We start from the raw sequence: 23,056 nt of genomic DNA on the forward strand, positions 1-23,056 counted from the left end.
GACACCAAAAAAAATCACAGATCGAGGAAGAATACCAACCAGTTTAAATAGCTCCCCAAAAATATGCCTCATTATATCACATTTAAATTGGAGAAAACCAAAGGCAAAATAAAATATTAAAAGAAGACAGAAAACAACACCACCACATTACTTAGAAAGGAGCAAAAATAACAATTACATTGGACTTTGCATCAGTAACCATGAAAGCCAGAAGGGAGTGGACTAAAACACTCAAAGGATTTGAAGAAAGAGAATCCTAATAACCTAGAATTCTATATTCACTGAAATTATCCTTCAGAAGTGAAGGAGAACCAAAGACTTCCTCAGACAAACATAAGTTGAAGGAATTAATCACAAGTGGAAATGACACGCAAGAAACATTCGAAGTTTTTCGGGGTGATAGAAAATGACACAGGTCAGAAACTCACGTCTACGTGATGCAATTGCAGTGGGGAAGAGATAAATGAAGGTAAAATAATATATTTTACTTTTTCTTTGTTCTTAATAGATCTAATCGGTAATTATTTGTTCAAATAATAGTGACAATGTAGTAGGCAATTATACAGAAAAATGAAATGAATGACAGCAATATTATAAGAAACAACAGCAATATTACAAGGAAGAGAAGAGAAGAGGAGCATTCTATAATCTTACGGTTAAATATCAGTCTCATAGTGGCCTGTGTCCCTGGGCAATCACCAACACACGTTGCTCCCCTTCCCCACACAGGAAGGCTAGATGGGGATGGAGCTGAGTAATTGCTCTTCTACTAGGTCTGAAGAGGCCCTGGTAAGGTCTTTTCCTTTGCAGAGTAGGCGTTTGTCATGATGAATCCTCCATGTGTACATTAAAATTGTTGCTTTTTCCCTTCTCCTGCCAGATACAAGAGGGTTTTCTTTTTCTCTTGGCTCTTCATGAAAACCTAGTGGGGCTTTTGAGATAAGACCCATGAAAGGGGGTGATCCTTCAGGATTACCACCCTGAGGAGTTTCTCACACTCACACTGGTGTACACTCAGCCTCCATAAAAGCCATTTGTGAAGGTTACCATTTTTGTATTTCTACCAGTTTATAATAACAGTGGCTTCTGCTTCTGGTAAACTGATCTTAGCTGTGATTTTCTGTGTTTATCTGTCTGTCCAGAATTTGGGGTGGCAGTTTGCCCTGCAACCTCAGTTCTCTGATGTTTGCAAGAAATCTCACTGATTTTCAGTTTGTTCAACTTTATTTTCGTTATAATATAGGAGTGATGAAACCACAGTGAAATGAATTTTGGCATTTCATAGAGTGACATAACCATCTCCATATCAAATTATGGATGGTTCATAACTCCAAATAATTTCCTGTGTCCCTTTATATTTATGTCATTCACACAACCTTGTATCTGGCACCGCTCTTCTCTGTCCTTAAATTTTGCCTTCTCCATTTATTACAAAATTGTCCATTCTACGGGTGGAATGCCACTTAAATGGAATAATAATGTATGCAGACTTTTGATTCTCCTTTCATTTATTTTACCTGTTCAAGAAAGAAAAAAGCTGGCATGCTTGCTACAGGTTGCTCCCTCATCAAGTACTATATTCAGCCTTTCTAGCCCAGCTCTCACACCCTGCATCCTATACCATTCCAGCATTCAGGAAATGTCCAATAGGGGAAAATGACCATGTACTCGAAGTTCCTCTAGATTCTAAACTGCATGGCAATTCACATGGTCAGTTTGTACATTTAATAAATGAAACGGTAAATAATTTGAAGACCGTGTAAAGATGACCTTTAATAATAATGTTACTAACTCTGTGAATTCGACTTAACTCAGGAGACTGTCAACACTTCTAACTTAGCGTATACAGGGTACATCATATGTGCGAGAAGTGCTACACAGCTTCATGATTTTGCAAGAATGTATTTGCAGCATGTGGAACAGGAAGCAGCTGCTCCTCCTCTGTTTACTTCAGTGTAATGTTAACGCAATTCTAATACGAACACATTACTCTTTTGCCATTTAATGTAAAGAAAGTCTATTATAAACAGTAACAAACAGCTGGATTCAGTGATGGCCTTTTTATCTTCAAATACACTTAACTTTTAATTAAAGTATTTTTTCTTAGTAATGTCATTAATACATAAAAGCATCTAGGCCTAATGAGTGGAAATTTTCCCATCATTTAGGGAGGAGTTGTAATTACGCTCAGGCCTCATGGCTGCCGTTTAGGAAATTGCAAACACAGTTCACTAAATGGCACTTTTATCAAAAGACTTGCATAGCATCCAAGTTGTTAGTCACAGTAAAGGCAGGTCTCCCACGTGGGTTTACAAGGGAAACTGGAACAGCTTCGTTTTGCATGTGTAAGCCAACATCCATATTACACTCACTAGAAGTGGTTCAGAGGATGCTAAATTTTTATAATAAAAATTATTTATTGTTTATACGTATAAACAGTTAAGTGTGTTTTCAGATACCCACAATCTTATCTTATTAGCATACCTGAGATTTTCTAGAAATTTCAATGTTACTTTAGATTATCTGTTATTTGTAATTAGTGTTTTTAAGCATTATACTGAATGTGTAAATGTGTTTATGTACATATGTACATATATGTACACACACATATATACATATGTATGTGTACATATATACATATGTGTATATATACATATTTACACACATATATATGATCCCAGAAGGTTCACTGATATAATCTTCATTAGTCAACAGGTATTTATTGGGTGTTTATTATGCCCCAAGCACTAGCTATGCAACTGTGAATAATGGCCCTTGTCCTTCTGGAAATTTTAACCAAATAAGCAAAAAAGACTCTAAGAAAGCAATATAACACAAGGAAATGCCAAAGATAGCCCCATTAACATAACCAGGATTTAACTCTATCTTTCCTTTAACAAAGGACATTTTTATCCTCTAAAATAATAGTAGCATATAGTATCAATTCCAAATTAGCAAATGAGAAAAGACAAAATATAGTGACCTGATAAATTAGGCAAGTATCAAGTACAGGTGAAAGGGAAATGACAAATAAGTAGTAGGCATACATACAATGTGAGGACTAGAGTATAACAGGTCTCACTAAATAATGGGCCAACTGCTTGTTAAAGGGAATTTATAAGAACTACATTAAATTACATTTTATGAAATGTAATATGAAGGGATGGGTAGCTAAATACTAAAACAAAAAGGTGGGATGTGAGTAAACAGAAGAACTGCAAAACTAATACTGATGCAAGAAGATTAAAGATACTACGAAGGCCTATGTGCCCCAAAAAATTAAAAATTAAAAAAAAAGCACTACGAAGGCAAACAACATTTTCAGAGACAAATTGTTAAAAATTCAAATAAAACTTGGAAAAGCAAACTATATTGGGATATTTCAATCTATCCCAATCAATTCTAATAGCCAAAAATATAAGTAAAGAAATGGGTGAAATGAATAATCATCCTAATAGGTATATAGAAAATATTCATTTTATTATATCCATGGAACAATTAGATAATTGATTACATAGTTAGCATCCCCCAAAAGACATATTAAAAAATAAATTTAAATTATAAAATTAGTGCTAGCTATATTCTCTATTCATAGTATACATATAGAAGTTAATAATAAAATAAATAATAAAATATAACATATAAAAATATATTTGCAAAAGAATGCTTATTGCAACATTTTTGTAGTACAACATATGTACCACATTTTGTTGATTCTTCTTCATTTGGGTTGCTTCCACCTTTTGGCTACTGTGAATAATGCTGTTATGAACATAGGTATGCAAATATCTCTTCATGAGCCTGTTTTTGGATATATACCCAGATATATCCAAATTATTTTTGAATATGGGGTGAGGTATGAATCCAACTTCATTTTTTTACATGTGGATATTCAGCATGTTCAGCATACCATGGTGGATCACGATGATTCTATTGAATTTTTGAGAAACCACTATACTGTTTTCCATAATGGTGACACCATTTTACATCCCCACCAACAATACACAAGAGTTCCAATATCTCCACATTCTTGCCAACTGTAGTTATTATTTCTCTCTCCTTCCCACTTTTCTTTCTTTCTTCCTTTTCTTTTCCTTCTTTCTTTCTTTCTTTCCTTTCTTTTCTTTTTCTTTCTTTCATCTTTCTCTCTTTTGTCTTTCTCTCTTTCTTTCTTCCCTCCCTCTCTCCCTCGCTTCCTTTCCTTCATTCCTTCCTTCCTTCCATCTCTTTTTCTTCCTTCCCTCCTCTCTTCTTTTTTCTTTCTTCCCTCCCTTCTTCCCTGTGTCCCTCCATCCTTCTCTCCCTCCCTTTCTTCCTCCTTCTTTTGCTTTTCCTTTGAAAATAGCTATTCTAATGGACATGAGGTGATATTGTCACAGGATCCTTGCGGTGTCACTTTGCCACCCAGAAACCTCTGTGGCTGGTGGCCCTTTGCCCAAGATTTTATTCAGGCCTGCTGGGCTCATTCTGCCCACTCAACCTGGCAGTCTGCATTCATCTTGTGCTACCAACCTGAATATCATGCCTGCCAAGGGTGAGCCAGGTGCAGAGCTATGAGGGGTGTGTAAGCAAGCAAGCATGCGGTTCAGCCACTGCACACAGCCAGGCACACCAGCTGTGGAGGGGGTGGCAGTTACAGACACCAGCACAGGTGCTGCTCCCTGTAAGGCTGCAGCTGGACCAGGTGTACCACAAGCAGGTTCTACAGCTGGCACCAGAGAACACAGTGGCTCTTGGAAGCTTGGAGACAACAGGAACTGCAGAGCCCCAGAGTGGGTGTCACAGCCCTGGCTTGGGGAGTTCCTAGGTCTGGTCTCCCCAAAGGGCCACAGCTCTTCTCCCCTTTTCTCTTCTTTCCTTGTTTTTACCTGCAATGTGGTGATCAAGTGGTGTATTTCAGCCCTGTTTGCATTACAGCTCTTTTAGCCCCACCATTCGGCAGGTCCCAAATTCTTGTCCTTTGTCCAGGAAGAATAAGATACACAGACAAGTGGAAGGTAAGCAAGGAGAAGAGGAGCTTTATTGAACAACAGAACAGCTCAGAGGAGACCTGCACTGCGTAGCTCCTCTCCACAGGCAGTGTGTCCTGATGAGTGTTCAGTTCTCAGCAGAGAGAAGACCCTGCAGTGGGTAGCTCCTCTCTGCAGCTGGTAGTCTCTACATCTACCCAGCTGTCGCACAGTATGGTGTGATGGTTAATACTGTCAACTTGATTGGATTGAAGGATGCAAAATACTGATTCTGGTTGTGTCTGTGAGGGTGTTGCCAAAGGAGATTAACACTTGAGTCAGTGGGCTGAGAAAGGCAGGCCCACCCTTACTCTGGGGGAACACCCCCTAATCAGCCGCCAGTGCAGCTGGAATATAAAGCAGGCAGAAAAATGTGAAAAGATGAGACTGGCCTAGGTTCCCAGCCTTCATCTTTCTCCTGTGCTGGGCCCTTCCTGCGCTTGAACATTGGACTCCCAGTCCTTAAGTATTGGGACTCAGACTGGCTTTCCTTGCTCCTTAGCTTGTAGACAGCCTATTGTGGGACCTTGTGATCATGTGAGTTAATACTTAATAACCTCCCCTTTATATACATATCTATCCTATTAGTTCTGTCTCAAGAACCCTGATTAATACAAATTTTGGTACCAAGAGTGGTTCTAGAGGAACAGAATACTAAGGATGGAGTTCCTTCATTGGTTTGGGGGTTTCTGGAGTTGGCTGCTTAATATGATTACACACCAAAATGCTAAGGATTCTACTTATAATAGTGTGGAGAACACTGATAGTCCTTGGCGTGACCTGTTTAGAGAGTTATGCAAAATAAATGCCTTTGAAATTCCTGCTTCACTGCTCGTGAGAGGCAAGGACTTTAGTGACTCTATACGTAATACCTTTGACCATATGTGGAGAACCAAGGAACAATAATGAAGTTGGTTGGTTGCTCCTCAGTTCAGTGGACAAAGTTAGGGCATCCCTTAGTATCATCATGCCCTGTGATTAAGGTCAATGAGAAACTACAACAGCTTTGTCCAGGCAGGACTACAAATGGCCCAGACCCTTCAGGAATGAAGGTTTGGATCACTCCACCAAGAAAAAAAAAAAAATGACCTGCTGAGGTGCTTCCTGAAGGCAAAGGGAACACAGAATGGGTAGTAGAAGAAGGTAGTCATCAGTACCAGCTACAACCACATGACCAGCTGCAGAATTGTCATGAGTATTTCCTCCTTTTGTTAAAAACATGTTTGTGCATGTATACACTTGTACTAAGAAAACATCTTCATTTTATTTCCTTTTCCCTTTATCATGTAACATAAGACTTATTGACTTCATATCAGCGTTTAAGTATTGTTAACTTAATGTAATAGTATTTGGGTTGGGGATTGGTGCGTTTCCAGTTGTATGAAGGATAGTTGTATTATGTTAGGCATAATTATGACCTTATTATTGTTTTTATTTGAAGATTATGTGTGATCTCAGGAGATGTGTATGGGTTCAAATTGACAAGGGGTGGATTTGTGATGGTTAATACCGAGTGTTGACTTGATTGGATTGAAGGATGCAAAGTATTAATCCTGGGTGTGTCTGTGAGGGTGTTGCCAAAGGAGATTAACATGTGAGTCAGTGGGCTGGGGAAGGCAGACACACCCTTAATCTGGATGGGCACCATCTAAACAGCTGCCAGTGAATATAAAGCAGGTAGAAAAACATGAAAAAGTGATACTGGCCTAGACTCCCAACCTACATCTTTCTCCTGGGCTGGGTACTTCCTGTCCTTGAACATCAGACTCCAAGTTCTTAAGTTTTGGAACTTGGACTGGCTGCCTTTGCTCCTCAGCCTGCAGATGGCCTATTGTGGAACCTGGTGATCATGTGAGTTAATACTTAATAAACTCATATATATATATATATATACACATATATATCAGGGGAAATTCAGCCAGATGTCAGGCTGAATATTTCACGTAGGTTCTTTTCTATTTTCCCTAAGTGTTGGTCAGTCTGAGAAATAAAGGGACAGAGCGCAAAACAGAGAAATTTTAAAGCTGGGTGTCCGGGGGAGACATCACATGTCGGCAGGTTCCGTGATGCCCCCTGAGCCCCAAAATCAGCAAGTTTTTATTAGTGATTTTCAAAAGGGGAGGGGATGTACGAATAGGATGTGGGTCACAGATCACGTGCTTCACAAGGTAACAGAATATCACAAGGCAAATGGAGGCAGGGCGAGATCACAGGACCGCAGGACCCGGGCAAAATTAAAATTGTTAATGAAGTTTCGGGCATGCATTGTCATTGATAACATCTTATCAGGAGACAGGGTTTGAGAGCAGACAACTGGTCTGACCAAAAATTTATTAGGCGGGAATTTCCTCGTCCTAATAAGCCTGGGAGCACTATGGGAGACTGGGGCTTATTTCATCCCTACAGCTCAACCATAAAAAAACGGCCGCCCCCCGAAGCGGCCATTTTAGAGGCCTACCCTCAGGGACGCATTCTCTTTCTCAGGGATGTTCCTTGCTGAGAAAAATAATTCAGCGATATTTCTCCCATTTGCTTTTGAAAGAAGGGAAATATGGCTCCGTTCTGCCTGGCTCACCGGCGGTAAGAGTTTAAGGTGATCTCTCTTGTTCCCTGAACGTTGCTGTTATCCTGTTCTTTTTTCAAGGTGCCCAGATTTCATATTGTTCAAACACACATGCCCTACAAACAATTTGTGCAGTTAACGCAATCATCACAGGGTCCTGAGGTGACATACATCCTCCTCAGCTTATGAGATGACAGGATTAAGAGATTAAAGTAAAGACAGGCATAGGAAATCACAAGAATATTGATTGGAGAAGTGATAAGTGTCCATGAAATCTTCACAATTTATGTTCAGAGATTGCAGTAAAGACAGGCATAAGAAATTATAAAAGTATTAATTTGGGGAACTAATAAATGTCCATGAAATCTTCACAATCCACGTTCTTCTGCCATGGCTTCAGCCGGTCCCTCTGTTCGGGGACATAAATATGTACATATGTGTGTACATATATGCACATATGTGTGTACATATATGTGTACGCACATATGCACTTGCGTGTGTACATATATGCACATATGTGTGTGTACATATATATGCACACGTGTGTGTGTACATATATATACGCACACATGTGTGTGTGTACATATATATGTGTGTGTGTGTGTATGTGTATATATTCCATTAATTCTGTCCCTCTAGACAACCCTGACTAATACATATGGTAAGACTATATTCAGTTTTGTAAGAAACGGCCAACTGTGTTCCAAAGTGGCTGTGATATTTTGCATTTCCACTGGCATATGCATTCTGATTGCTCCACATTTTTGTCAGCATTTGGTTTCATCATATTCTGTATTTTGGCCATTCTAATATGTATGCCAGTAAATAGATTTATTTTTACTGTTTTTAGTATTGTGTGGCAAATTGTTTATTAAATATTTATTTTTGTTAAAGATATCTTTCAAACATTATATATATAATATAAAATATATATGTGTGTGTATATATAATATTCCATTTAAAAACTGAAAGTATACCATCTTTCCAGTGTTTATCTCACTATTTACTGGGTATATAGCCATTTTGATACAATCTTCTCTATATTTATTTCTTATTGCTCAAGACTTTTCCTACCTAATTATAGCATACTTTATTCTCCACATAAATGCATTTTATTACCAACCGTAAGCTGGATAATATCAGGTGTTCGAGAAATAGTTGCAAAGTATTAGCAACATATCTCCTCCATTCATTGTGAGGTAATTTGACACTTCAAAAGATAGTAACATCACTTGTATCTGATAAAAGTGGAATCCACTAACATTATTTTTATTTCACAAGCCTCCCTAAATAATAAAGTGCTTAATACTAAGCAAAGCACTTCTCCTCTCTCTACTTATGAAAAACACTCTGACTTGATATCCTCTGTCACCTTCCTTCTGAGGCTTTTATCGACTTCACGGTAAAACTACACCTCTCAAATTTGACAAAGCAATGGAATCCCGTATTTTAATAGAGGATTATGGTTTTATGGCTTTAAAAATCTTCCTTGCTTCAGTGTGCTACTTAGTTTCAGCTTAAATCTCTAATACTGCTGGCTTTGATCAGTGACATTTGTAGGATTGGTGAAGTGTTTACTTCAAAGAAATTGTGTGCTTTATCCAATGTTTAAGGATTTTTAATGTAAACATTTTCAGGTATTCTAAAGTACATTCTAATAGAAAGTCTTTATTTGGGTTTATCATTGCAATACAAGTCAGGCCTATAAAATTATATAATATAATTTTATGAAACAAATCAACTTACAGTACAAATGAGTCTTGCTTACCTAAAAGAGGTCCCATAGAGGAGATACATACTTATCCAATCATAGTGTCTCTGCACAAAACCTTTTAAAAAGAGTATTGCTTTTGGGATCAGTCAGTGAGTCCTCAATGGTACTCGCTGATATCTTTAATTAATCTTGAGTAGACTCTTTCTGGTTCTCTACAGCAGCTGTTCTATATTCTTCCCACCTTCTTCTGCCTCTCTAATGTATTTTTGTTTGTTCACTTTCAAACGACCTTGATTCCTACTTTACCAGGGAAAAAATGAGCTCTTTACATACAATTTTCCTCGCCCTTACTCTGCTTCAACATATTCTCTAGTAATTCTTAACCTGTTGGGTTGTAGAACACATTGAGACTAATAAAAATCAAGTGTCATATAGAATGTCAACCCATAATATTAAGGGTAGAGGCTCTGTGATCCCCTTTGTGCTACCATTTTTTCTGGGGTATCTGAGTGAATTAACTTAAATGCTGCTCAAATCTTTCTTTTTATTTTATTTTCTTTTTTTCTTCTTAGACCTACCTCATTTGTCATCTGCTTGAAATTATAAAGCAAACCTTCTCTGTGCCATGGTACTCAATTCTTTTTGCTTGGAAGTCAATATTTTCCAAAGTAAATTCATGATCTTCCCACTCAAATATGCTCCTGTTCTAATCCTGCCTTTATCTCGATGACTGAGTTTTTGATGATGCCTGTCATGTTTCGAATAACTCATCTCATTTCCAGCCCAAGTCTCACTGCTCAATGCCAGCGCAGCTCCTCACCAAGCCCACCTAACTTAGAGCCATCCCCAACTCCTTTCTCTCCATCTCAAACATCCAATCAACTACCAAGACTGTTAAATTATATCCAAACATTCTACCCCTTGAAATCATCCTCATCCTCCTGTGAGGATCTCACCATTTCTCCTGTGGATTCTGCTTGGGGCTCCCTGACTGCTCTCCACATTGTCACGGGAGTTACCGCCTTGTAATGCACAGCTCACTAGAGGGAAGCCCTGCTGCAAATTCTCCAGCACATCTGCGTCACCTGCAGGACAAACTCCGAACAGCACAGCCTGGCTAATTCATCCATTTGCTATGTCATTCACTGCCTGACCCTTCTTAATTTTTCAGACTACTGTTTTAATTTCCCTTTTTAAATTGATACAGCAAAGGAAATAATCAACAAAGTGAAGAGACAAGCTACAGATGGAAGATAATATTTGCAAACTTCCATCTTCCATCTTATATCGTTTGGCTGTGTCCCCACCCAAATCTCACCTTGAATTGTAGCTCCCATAGATAACTGAATCATGGGGGCAGTTTCCCCCATACTGTTCTCATGTTAATGAACAAGTCTCATGAGATCTGATGGTTTTAAGGGGAAACTCCTTTCACTTGGCTCTCAGTTCTCTCTTGTCTGCCACCATGTACAACGTGCCTTTCGCCTTCTGTCATGATTATGAGGCTTCCCCAGCCATGTGGAACTCAAACCTCTCTTTCTTTATAAATTACCAAGTCTCAGGAATGTCTTTATCAGCAGTGTGATAACAGACTAACACACAATCCAATAAGAGAGTAATAATCAGAATTTATAAGGAACTGAATTCAATAGAAAAAAATAACTGATTTAAAAATGGGCAAAAGGCCAGGCATGGTGGCTCATGCTTGTAATCCCAGTACTTTTGGGAGGCTGAGGCGGGCGGATCACCTGAGGTCAGGAGTTCAAGACCAGCCTGACCAACATGGGAAAACCTCATCACTACTAAAAATACAAAATTATCCGGGCTTGATGGTGCATGCCTGTAATCCCAGCTACTCAGGAGGCTGAGTCAGGAGAATCACTGGAACCTGGGAGGCAGAGGTTGCAGTGAGCCAAGATTGTGCCATTGCACTCCAGCCTAGGCAACAAGAGTGAAACTCTGTCCCAAAAAACAAACAACAAAAGGGCAAAAGACCAGAATAGACATTTCTCAGACATACAAATGATTAAAAGATATACTTTTTAAAAACAGCTCAATGTCACTAATCAGAGAAATGCAAATGAAAACCACAATGAGAAACAATCTCATCCCAGTTAAACTGGTTTGTATCAAAAAGGCAGAAATAACCAATGCTTGCTGGCAAGAATTTGGAGGAAGGGTAACACATACACTGTTGGTGAGAGTGTAAATTAGTACAGCCACTATGGAAAAAAGACCACTTTTATATGAAATGGTATCACTTTTTAATTGCTATATAATTGACATATAATAAAATGTATACATTTTTAGGTACATTTTTATGAGGCTTGACAAATGATACACCCATATAACTGCCATCTCAATAAAAGGAGAGAATGTTTGCATCTTTCCAGAAAGTTCCCTATGCTCCTTCCATCAATCCCTGTCTCACCAGCCAGCATCAACCCAGTGCAGTAGTGGTTGTGATTTCTGTTACTATAGAATAGATTTATTATTTCTAGAATTTCATATGTATGTGTGATTTTTTTCCCTCATAATAATATTCTCACTATTCAAAAATGTTGAGTTTATATCAGTAGTTTATTCCTTGCATTGCCTAGTAGTATTCCATTCAGAATATAGCACAATTTGTTTATCCATTCTCCCATTTATGTATATGTGTTTTTTCTGGTATAGTCTGTTATTAAAAAGCTGCTAGGAATATTCTTGAACAAGTCATTTGGTGAAAATGAGTTTTTATCTCTTTTAGATAAATGCCTAAAATTGAGACTGCTGAGGGGTGAATTGTGGAGATCTGTTCAAAGATTTAAGTTGTATCTGCTCACTGTGATATCTCCAGTGTCTGCAGCAGCACCTGGCCAATAACAGATGCCTACAAACATTAGTTGAAAGAACAGATGGTTAAACAACCTTCATTGATCATTTATTCTGAGTGATGTGATATCCTTAGAACAAATAACAATACATATTGTCCTAGCAGTACATATGGATTCCAGGCAAAAGAGTGTTCATTTTTATTATTTTGTCGGAGTGTGCAATGGGGAAAACTTTGGTGGGAAATGTCGATAATGAGGGAGGCTGTGTATGTGTGAGGGCAGGGAATATATGGAAACCCTCTGGACTTTTCTCTCACATTTGCTAAAATATATAATTGTTCTAAAATAACTAAGTCTGAGAAAAAATAATGGGGTAACCTTTCCTTGGCAGAAGACGAGTATTTTGGTTGTGGTGGCTTCCCACCGCGAGGAGCAGCTTCAATTTACCTTGTGCCCCACCTTGCTTCCCCTCCAACCCCTATATCTACTTTTGGAATCTTCCTGGAGGTTACAACCCACTTGAAGAGCTCTGTTTGAGATTTTAGCCTTGGTTGAATTAAGGAATTTTAGACTGAGAGCTTAATTTCTCTAACCTCCATTAAAGCCTTAACTAACTGCCTTGTGGCTTATTCCTTCTCTAAGTAGTTGCAGCTTCTTATTGTGAGATTATTTTAGGCTTCCACAGAAAAAATAAACAAGAAAACATAGTTTCAAGGGGCCTTTTTGTGTGTGTGTGTTTCTTTAGAATTACAATCTCCTAGGCTTCACTGGATTTTGCCATGAATCTGTTCTTTGGTGCATTACAATGTCTTACAACTCATGAGTGCCCTACTTTGTTGATAGTACACTCCCCGGGGTTTTATTGTAAGCTATTGTTACTCTTACTTTTTAAATATCTCAAGATTTGGGAGAGGAGTGGTAAGTATATCATCAGCCAACATCTTTATATAGAACAGGCATTTATTCCAAATAATCTGTCATTTAAATTTACAAATTATATTATTTTTACATAGCTGTTTTTTCATTTCTCATGGTGGGAGTTCTTAACATGCAACATTACAGTTATATAGGATAAATAATTCTGAGAGACCTAATGAACAACATAAGGACTATAGTCGAGCTATTTGCCAAGATATGTATAAGAAAGAAAGAAGAGAGAGAGGAAAGGAGGGAGAGAGGAAGGGAAGGGAGGAAGGAAAGAGAAAGAAAGAAAGGGAAAGGAAAGAAGGAAGGAAGGAAGGAAAGGAAAGGAAGGGAGGGATGGAGGAAAACTATATGAAGTGATGGGCATTTTAATTTACTTGACTGTAGCAATGACTTATGTATAGGCATATCCAAGCTTTATGTTACACACCTTAAATATACACAATAAAAATTATTAAAAATAAAACGATTATTAATACAGTTGTAAAACACCACCAAATACGTTAATTTAATTTGTACATGGCAGGTTTTTAAAAAATTTATCAGTGTGAGAGTTACGTCACATGTTTAATCGTGGCAACATTTCTTTACACTTCCAAATATGTCACCTTCCAGTTGTCATAGAAAAAGAATTAAAATTTTCTTTAGAGACGAAATGCTCAGTACATACCAATTGGTACAGTAAAAAAGTAAGAACATTATTTTCTTTTATATTCATTTTTTTCCACTTACAATATGACTATGAGTAATAATAATTTATCAACATTTTCAGATATATTTATCAGGGGGAAATTTATATGTTTTATTTATTTATGTCTTTTACCCTGTACATTTCATGCCTTATTATTTATTTCTTTGTAATTCTTGCAGGATTTTTCTATGAAAATAAGTAGTCCCATCTAGTAACCAATCATTAATTTACCAACCACTAATTTACTCATGAATTCATTCATTCAGCCACTATTTATTAAACATCTATTATTTTTAAGGTTTTTCTTCAGGCACTCCACGAGATACAAAAGTAAATGACACTTTTCCCCTTTGACATTACAGAAATCCTAGTTTTCATAAATTTTTCCCAAGGATATAATTGCACAATTTTGAAAGGTTTAAATGAAGGACATGTGTTATAGTATCTTTATAGTAGATAACAAGGAGCAAAATAAAGAAAACTATTAATCAGGAGATATTGGTTAAAGAAATTCCATTTTTCTAAGTGAAGTAACTCAGGAATGGAAAACCAAACATTGTATGTTCTCACTCATAAGTGGGAGCTAAGCTATGAGGGCGCAGTGGCATAAGAATGATAGAATGGACTGTGGGGACTTGGGGGAAAGGGTGGGAGGGAGGTGAGAGATAAAAGACCACATATTGGGTACAGTGTACACTGCTTGGGTGATGTGTGCACCAAAATGTCAGAAATCACCACTAAAAATGCATCCATATAACCAAATACCACCTGCTCCCCAAAAACCTACTGAAATTAAAAAATTAAAACAAAGTAATTAAAAAGCAAAGACATGTAAAAACCCAGATTTTAATAATTATGTACATATTTTAATGTCTGTTATTAAAATATGTGATATCACAAGAACAGAAATTCCAAAGTATCTCTAGCTACTTAGTATTTAGTGAGTCATTAAAATGGACTATGTAAATCTCTATATTTTGTATTTTTATTTTTATTTAACTCAAATTTATAATTTTAAAATTTATAATTGTAGATATTTATGGCCTACAATATGATGTTACAATGCATGTATGCACACTACATCAAATGGGGGTAATTACCATATTCATCACTTTAGACATTTATCTTTTTTTGTGGTGGCAACATTCAAAATCTTCTCTTCTAGCTGTCTTGAAACATACAATACACTGTCATTTGCTATAGTCACCCTACTGTGTGATAAAACACAAAAATATATTTTTCCTAATTGTAACTCTGTACCCATTGACCGGCCTCTCCTGGTCTCCCCTCCTCCCTACCATCCATCCCCAGCTTCTGGTAATCACTATTCTACTCTCTACTTCTATGAAATCTCTCCTATGAAATCAGCTTTTTCAGGTTCCGTATATGAGTGAGATCATGCATTATTTGCTTTTCTGTGCCTGGCTTATTTTATTTAACGTAACATCCTCTAGGTTCATCCATGCTGGATTTCATGATTTTCTATGGATAAACTGTATTCCATTGTGTATATGTGTATATATATTTGTGTGTGTGGGGGGGATATACACCAAATTGTATATGTATGTGTATATTTGTATGTATGTGTATATTTGTACATATGTATATATAACACATTTATTTTATTCATTCATCATTAGATGGATGTTTAGGTTGATCCTGTATCTGGCCTTCCCCCCCCACAAAATCATCCAATTTTAAAATAAGCAAACACATGAATAAACATTTTTCAAAAGAAGACATACAAATGGCCAACAGATATATGAAAAAATGCTCTACATCACTATCATCATGGAAATGCAAACCAAAACCACAATGAGATACCACCTCACTCTAGTTAGAATTACTGTAATTAAGAAAAATAATAAATGCTGGGAAGGATGATGAGAAAAGAGAACTCTTACACACTGTTGATAGGAATATAAACTAGTACAGCCATTATGAATAACAATATGGAGGTTTCCCAAAAAATTAAAAATGAAATGACCATATAATACAGCAATCCTATTATTGATTATATATCCAAAGGGAATTGGTATTTTTAAAGATATGTTTCAGGATTTATTCATTTTTATTTTAGATACTTTTCCTCTTTAAAGAGTTTTAGGTCAATCTTCTTGTTATATAATAGACTAAATGTAAGCATTACAAGTTACGGGTTCCTACTCTGTAATATTTGCAAGAAAACAGCAGTGTTAAAATATATGAATTTTTATGTCACAGACAATTTTTATTGATGGTGTCATGTGTAGCCCCTTCAGTGTCCTCATAGGATGGAGGTTCCTGCGCCGGGAAGATCCCTTGCTGGCTGGGCTCACTGGGACTGACCTGGAGCTGTGGTGGAGAATGATGTTCTTAATGATAATTTGAGAACAGGAAGGCAGGGGCTGTGGACGTAAAGCTGTGGGCTGAGGAAGATCAGAAAGAGGAGGAGTTGCTGTATTAGGAAGATTAGAGGCTCCCAGAGGTCCTGGAAGTATTCTTAGAGAGTCTATAAAGCAAACACACTCTTTTATCTTCCCTATGAAACACTCAGTAAAATATAGATTCCTCACTAATATTTTCTTTTCCTTCCCTTCTTTTTTTATCCTTCCTGGTGAAAACAGTACCTGATTATGGCAACTGCAATTATTTGAGTTCTGTGTGCCTTGTAAAAATTTCACTTAGCCCACTTAAGAGACCAAAACACCCAACATATAAATGTTATAAGTGAAAAAATATGTGTGAAGCAGAATGTAGAGAAAATCACAGTGTGATACTCGCCTTTCTTCAAGGCCCTTAGTGAAATTCAATTATTTTCTTTTCTTCCTCCCCGTTCATTCCTCATACCAGCTTGACAGTGATTCTCCCTAAATGTAACCCTATCTTAAGCAACCAGCATACTCCAACTGCCTCTTCACAGAAAGCTGGAACACCCTCTCTCTTTACTTCAAATTTATTTGAATCAAATATAATTGGCTCTTCCTGTTTATGCAGAAAAGTTACTTACTCCAGGAAAGTAAAATCCTTCCCCTGTATTTTTCTACCACTTTCTTTCACTTTCCTGGGGCAATGCACCATCAATTACATCCTTCTCCATCTAATTTGAATGATGCTCCTCCTCTCCCCCTCCTCCTCCTCTCCTCTTCCTCTTCCTCTTTTTCTCCTTCTCCCCTTCCTCTTCTCCTCCTCTCTTCCTCTTTCTTTTCTTCCTCTCCTCCTGTTTTCACCTCCTTTTCCTTCTTTTTCTTCTTTCTCTTCCTGTTTCTCCCTCCTCCTTTCCCTCTCCCCCTCCTGCTCTCTGTCATTTTATTTGAAATAAACAAAAAAAGTCTTCCTTATTCTAATAAAATATAATTAAATGCAGTATTTCCCAACTATAGTTCTGTCGTTTATGGGGTAAAAAAGCTATGCAATAAGCTGGTATTAACTGCTGAAAGAAAAGAAATACATAATGGAGATTATAGAAATAGATACGCATTTCAACTTTTCCACCTATAAGACCAGGAATCTCAGGGAAAGGAACTTTTTCTCTCTGAACCCAGTGGAATCACCATTTCCTCCTGTGAAAACGTGCCAAACACATTTCCCATAAACTTGAATGAAGAGTCCCACAGTGTCTAGTCTAACAAAAGTACATTGTTGATGCTCAATGCATGCTGTTGACCTTTCCTTCTCCCATCCCTAACATCTGCCCCCGCTGGTTGTGGACCATTGTCTCCCTCCTCCCCTGGTTCCCACACTGATTGTGGAAAGGCTCTAACTTTGCTAGATCTTCATACTCCACTGTTTCCTTTTGTGTCTTTCTCTATCCTGTCCCCCAAATCCAAGCACCCTCAAGTTCATTGGCATGCTTCTCCATTCTTTGTTTTTATTTTCTTCTGGATAGTCTTATCTAGATGGCCTTTCCATGTGGCACCCTGAGCATTGCATGTTCCCAAGTATTTCCAGATGCTTCCATACAGATGTTAAACTCGTTGTGTAAATGTGATGTGCTACTTCAAGAGGACAGTGTTTTTCCTTTCTCTCCATTTTTCTTCTCATTTTTAAAAAAAATTTCTTTCTCTTTATTTCTCCTAAAAAACAGGATACATGTGCAGAACAGGTTGATTTGTTACATAGGTATACATGTGTGCCATGGTGGTTTGCTGCACCTATAGACGTGTCCTCTACATTCCTTCCCCTAGCCCCCCATTCACCAATAAGCCCTGGTGTGTGTTATTCCCCTCTCTGTGTCCATGTGTTCTCATTGTTCAACTCTCATTTATGAGTGAGAACTTGCAGTGTTTGGTTTTCTGTTCCTGTGTTACTTTGCTGAGGATGATGGCTTCCAGCTTCATCCATGTCCCTGCAAAGAACATGATCTCATTCCTTTTTACGGCTGCATAGTATTCCATGGTGTATATGTACCACATTTTCTGTATTTAGTCTATCACTGATGGGCATTTGAGTTGGTAGGAATATAAATCATTCTACTATAAAGGCACATGCACATGAATGTTTATTACAGCACTATTTTCTTATCATTTTATGGCCTCTACCCACTGATTCAGAGTTATTCATTAACTCAGAAGGAAAATCACATAGCATAAAACAAAGAATTATGTTTCTGAGTGGACTTCTTTTTAAACTAAGAGAGAACGCAGCAGGTGGACCTGCGCTGAGAATGGGAGTCATTTAGGCAGGCCGCGTCTGCACGGGCGCTGACCTGGCTGCAGCACTAAACCTTTGATGAGAAATAAGACTGAGAGGATGGGCCTGACAAAGAACTGGTGGAATCCACGGCTTCCCAGCAGGGCATGAGGAATGTAGGTGGCAGGTCCTGTCCCCCCAGCCAGACAGGAGGGAGACTCTGAGAGAAGAGCAGCAGAACCAAAAATACCTGGGCTGAAAAAGGAGCGGGGATGGGAGTGGGGAGTCCTGCAGCTGGAGGCTTTGACAGGACCAGCAGATATCAGTGAACAATGAGAAGGACCAGAGGAAAGGAAGCTCATCTAACCATCTAACGAGGGCCACGTATGGAGAGGGTGACACGGTGGCTCTCCACGCCACTCGCTCAGGCACAGGGTGACACGGAGGCACCCCAGTCACCCCTGCCCCCAACACTCAGCTCACTACCTGGGGCAGTTAGGCAAGAAGGGAGACACAGGCGAATCCTGAATCATCCTATTATTTTTTTCTCTAGAAACTGACTTTTTCACAAGAAGTAATTTAGGATGGTTTAGCAAAATTAGATTTTCCACTTAACATACAGAAATTAAGATTCAAAAGCAAAGTAAATTTTCTTTATAAATAAATAAAGTTACATACTTGACAAATCTAAGTTTATGATTCACAAAATCCCTCTCTTATTATGCACACAGAAATGGGCTCCTTATCTAAGTCCCAAAGTCTGTGTCTCCTTTGGATTTTCCTCACTCCACTCATGGTCTTCCTGATCCCTCGGGTCTATAGAAGATATTCCACCATTGAGGTAAAAAAGAAGAAGTACAACAACCACCATTCCAAGTCCGATTCCTGGTGCACAGTGTTTTGAATTCTTACTGACAGCAGAGGAATTCTTGTGGAAAGGCCTGCTGTTCTTCATTTTGGAAGGCCAGGGCTGTGCAATGGAGGATGGTATAAAATTGAGCTGTCATTTTTCAGAGCAGCTCCAGGAACCACTTTGCACACACCATGAGGTCTGCTACCAGACACTGCAGGTATTTATCTACTTAAAGCGGGTTAGTGATACTCCCAAGCATATTAACAGGTTCTGCCCTGGTTAACCAAGACCGGTGCTGGTCATAATTTCTCAGGGGAAGTCCTGTTATACCACTCTACCTAGACAAAGGCCATAACTCTTTCAAATAATTACATGTTCTATCTTTTAGTTCTGAAATACCCTCTTTTTCTTAATTATAAGCTGGTCATTAAAATGGCTAAAACCATCTCACTGCTGTACTGGAAAGCATTAGCACGATTTATTGGCTTTCTATCACCATGTTAATATGTCTTAATCTTCCTGCTCTCTCTGTCTTTTAAAACTAGAATTATTATTTCAATATAAAAAGTTCTCACTTACGGAACCAGCAATGCTCAGCTCTTTTTCAGCCTCCTCTCATTTGATTTTGCAAAAGACTGGTTGTTACCAAAAGAAGAGATCAACAGTGAAAGTGGAGGTCCAGGCCTCAGCAGCCAGTGACCAACATGCTTCCAAACTTCCTCCATTTCAGAGCTGTGGCTGGAAGAAGAGGATAGAGGATTTTCCACATCAATGCCTCTTTCTTTCTGCCATCACCTTCACCATGGTTACAGAAGCATCCACATCCGAATTAGGATGGTGGAGAAGAATGGACAAAAAGAATAAGAAAGGTAATGTATTAGTCCGTTTTCACGCTGCTGATAAACACATACCAGAGACTGGGAAGAAAAGGAGGTTTAATTTGACTTACAGTTCCATATGGCTGGGGAGGTCTCACAATCATGGTGGAGGGTGAAAGGCACTTTTTACATGGTGGCAGCAGAAGAGAATGAGGAAGAAGCAAAAGCAGAAACCCCTAATAAACCCATCAGATCTCGTGAGACTTAGTCACTATTACGAGAATAGCACAGGAAAGACCAGCCCCCATGATTCAGTTACGGCCCACTGGGTCCCTACCACAACACGTGGGAATTCTGGAAGATACAATTTAAGTTAAGATTTGGGTGGGTGCACAGCCAAACCATATCAGGAAAGAAGGAGGACAGAGAGGAACGCGGGGAGCTAAGGTAAGCCGAGAAGGGGAATCTGATGGAGGCTTTGTGAGCTCAACCAATGAGGAGCAAATTCATTCCCCAAACACTAAGTGCGATTATTTGTCAACTCTGGGCTCAGTTATGAGGGTGGAGGTGGGAGTAAAGTATGACCTTGCAACAGGGGAAATGGTAGGGACCAGGGAGAGGCAGTCAATGAAGACCTTTCCGTGGTAGACACAAGGTCAAGGTGCTGGGAGAGGATGAAGGAGGAGGAGAATCCATTCCACTTGCTGAGAAAGGGAATGTGTTTTTTGGACAGCATCGTGCCTGAATAGCACCCTGAAAAATACCAATAATAATCACCAAAAGCCTCGTCTAACCCATGATCATTAGTTTATTCAATATAATTTATGCAATTTCCATCACAACACTATGGGATAGATACTTTAAAAATTATGATCAGGATTTTTTCAGTAGATGAAAATGGAAGGGAGAAAGCCAAGTAGAGGGAAGGTAGGAAGCAGATTCACTGGCACAGAGCCCAGTGAGACCCCTCAGAGAGGGAGAATGCCAGGCAGCAAGGTTGGGACCAGATTGTGACCCTGAAGCAACATGGGCTCAACCCTACCAGCTGGGCACACACCACAGAAGAGTATTGAAGAGAAGGGAATATAGGAAGCTCGGAACTCTCATTGAGAAAGATACTTGGCCAGGGAAGAGAATTGCTTGAGACCAGGTGTTCAAGACCAGCCTGGGCCACACAGTGAGACCCTGTGTCTACCAAGAAAAAAAAAAAAAGAAAGAAAGAAAACAAAAAGAAAGAATATTCCTGGCCTCTCATGTGGAGGAACCTTCCCAGACTCTCTGTGTTCTCATATCTCTGGTTTGGGATAAAGGAAAAGCCCACTTTTTCCCATTCTGCACTTTTTGCCCTACGCAGCAAGCTTCCGAAGGGCCGGGTCTGTCCTTTTGGGAGGCCTCTATGGTGTGTGGTTTTTCAACACTGCCTGGGGATGGTGCATTCATCTGTCTCTATCAAAGGGGAAGGCTTATTAGTCAGTGAAGTCAGCTGCAAATCCAAGGCCATATTTTCTGATCAGCTTTATTGGTAATAAAGCAGATATTGTGATACCAAAACATGTAATTTCTGCCTTTATCACTCAGGAGATCATGACCCTAGAAAGCAAAGCAGGTTGTTATTTATTGGCCCCCAAAACCTAACTGTACACATGCATGGCAAGACAGAGAGAGAGAGAGATGATTTTGATATGCAGTATAAGCATACACTTCTTATTGACGATGAAATGTATTAAAAGGCAAGCTAAACAAAACTGAGGCACAATAAAATTCTTAATAGTTTATTTGAGCAAATAATGATTCCAGAAGTAGGAGCTCTATGCCAAGAGTGGTTTGGAGCCCTCATGGAAGGAGCATGAGGGTCATTCTTTTATAGGATGAAGGAAGAAGCCACGCAAAGAAGATATGTGATTGGTTACAAAGTTGCCTTATTTGTTCTATTCCACCGGAAAGTCTCTAGTTACATAATTGTAAGTTTGTTGGCTCCTTTTGGTTGGTTGAGCCTATGTTCTGTTTTTCAAAATAGGCAATTACAAGAAATAGCTCATTTCACTTATGTTTGCAAATCAAGCAAAGTTGGTGTCACGAGGCCTAACAGGCTTTGTCTGCTTGGGGCTTCTGCAGGCCTGGTCCCCATTTTAATTTACGTTAACAGATGGGAGACTCAAGTCTGTGCTTTTTCATTTAGCCTCACAAAATATGAGATTTATTTTTTTAACCTGTTGAGGGTGTGATTATAGTGTTCAAAAATACAATATGCTTTCTTGACAACCTGCCTCCCAAATATAGCACAAATAATTTAGTTTGTGTTCAAGTTTAGTAATAGTGATCTGTTCAAATGATTTGGGAAAAAGATGTCCTGACTTGGACATAAAGACACGGCACCCGTATTGTTCTCTTGTGGCAATTTAAGGTATTCTGAAGGGCAATTTTAACACTATCCTTAATAATATGTTATTGAAAAAAATGTTGATCTAAATATGTAATGATCAATTCTCGCCAAGGGAAATCTTTGTTAAACATATAGGCAGTAACAACCTTTGACTTTATATTACTACCCTAAATAAAAACAGATAAAATCACTTTGGTCTCATATCTCAGACTTACCAAATCTTCCAATGGCTGAAAGAGTTTTATAAGAGTCATTTGGGAGAGGAAAGAAGTGATTCCTTCTTCAAATGCAGATGTACCTAGAGGGAATCAAATGTCCTCTTACATTTTCATCTAAGTTTTGGTTGAGAAAACTCCCAAAGAGTTTTTGAAAAAGAAAGGAATGAAGAAAAGAAAGAAAGACTGAAGAAAAAGAGAAGAGAAGCAGAGGAGAAGGGAAGAGGGAGGAAGGTAGAGAGGGAGGGAGGGAAAGAGAGGAAGAAGGAAAGGCATATTCAAAGCTGGGCCCCTGTACGTTTTTTAAACAGCTTTATTGAGGTGTAATTGACATAGAAAGAACTGTGCAAATTTAAAGTGTACAGTTTGATGAGTTTGAACATATGCACACGCCTGAAACCGCCTTTGCCAAATTATAACTGAGGAAACTATGACAGTGAAAGAAGTCAGACCTAACTG

At 38.5% G+C, this 23,056-nt stretch overlaps 1 long non-coding RNA gene across 2 annotated transcripts in view, besides 1 other annotated feature; it reads right to left on the reverse strand.

Moving 5' to 3' along the window:
• The window catches only part of LOC105372190 (uncharacterized), a 312,925-nt gene that overhangs the window by 131,680 nt on the left and 158,189 nt on the right, over positions 1-23,056 (reverse strand). The window lies entirely within an intron of this gene.
• Positions 18,691-18,860: an enhancer, noted in NCBI's record as "experimental_50021 CRE fragment used in MPRA reporter constructs". NCBI's record gives its function as "activates a minimal promoter by MPRAs in K562 erythroleukemia cells, with activity observed for the non-introgressed 18:71196057 variant allele {active_cell/tissue: K562}" and the evidence as "EXISTENCE:reporter gene assay evidence [ECO:0000049][PMID:34662402]".

This window comes from Homo sapiens, chromosome 18 (assembly GCF_000001405.40).
Source record: "Homo sapiens chromosome 18, GRCh38.p14 Primary Assembly".
Classification (NCBI taxonomy): domain Eukaryota; kingdom Metazoa; phylum Chordata; class Mammalia; order Primates; family Hominidae; genus Homo; species Homo sapiens.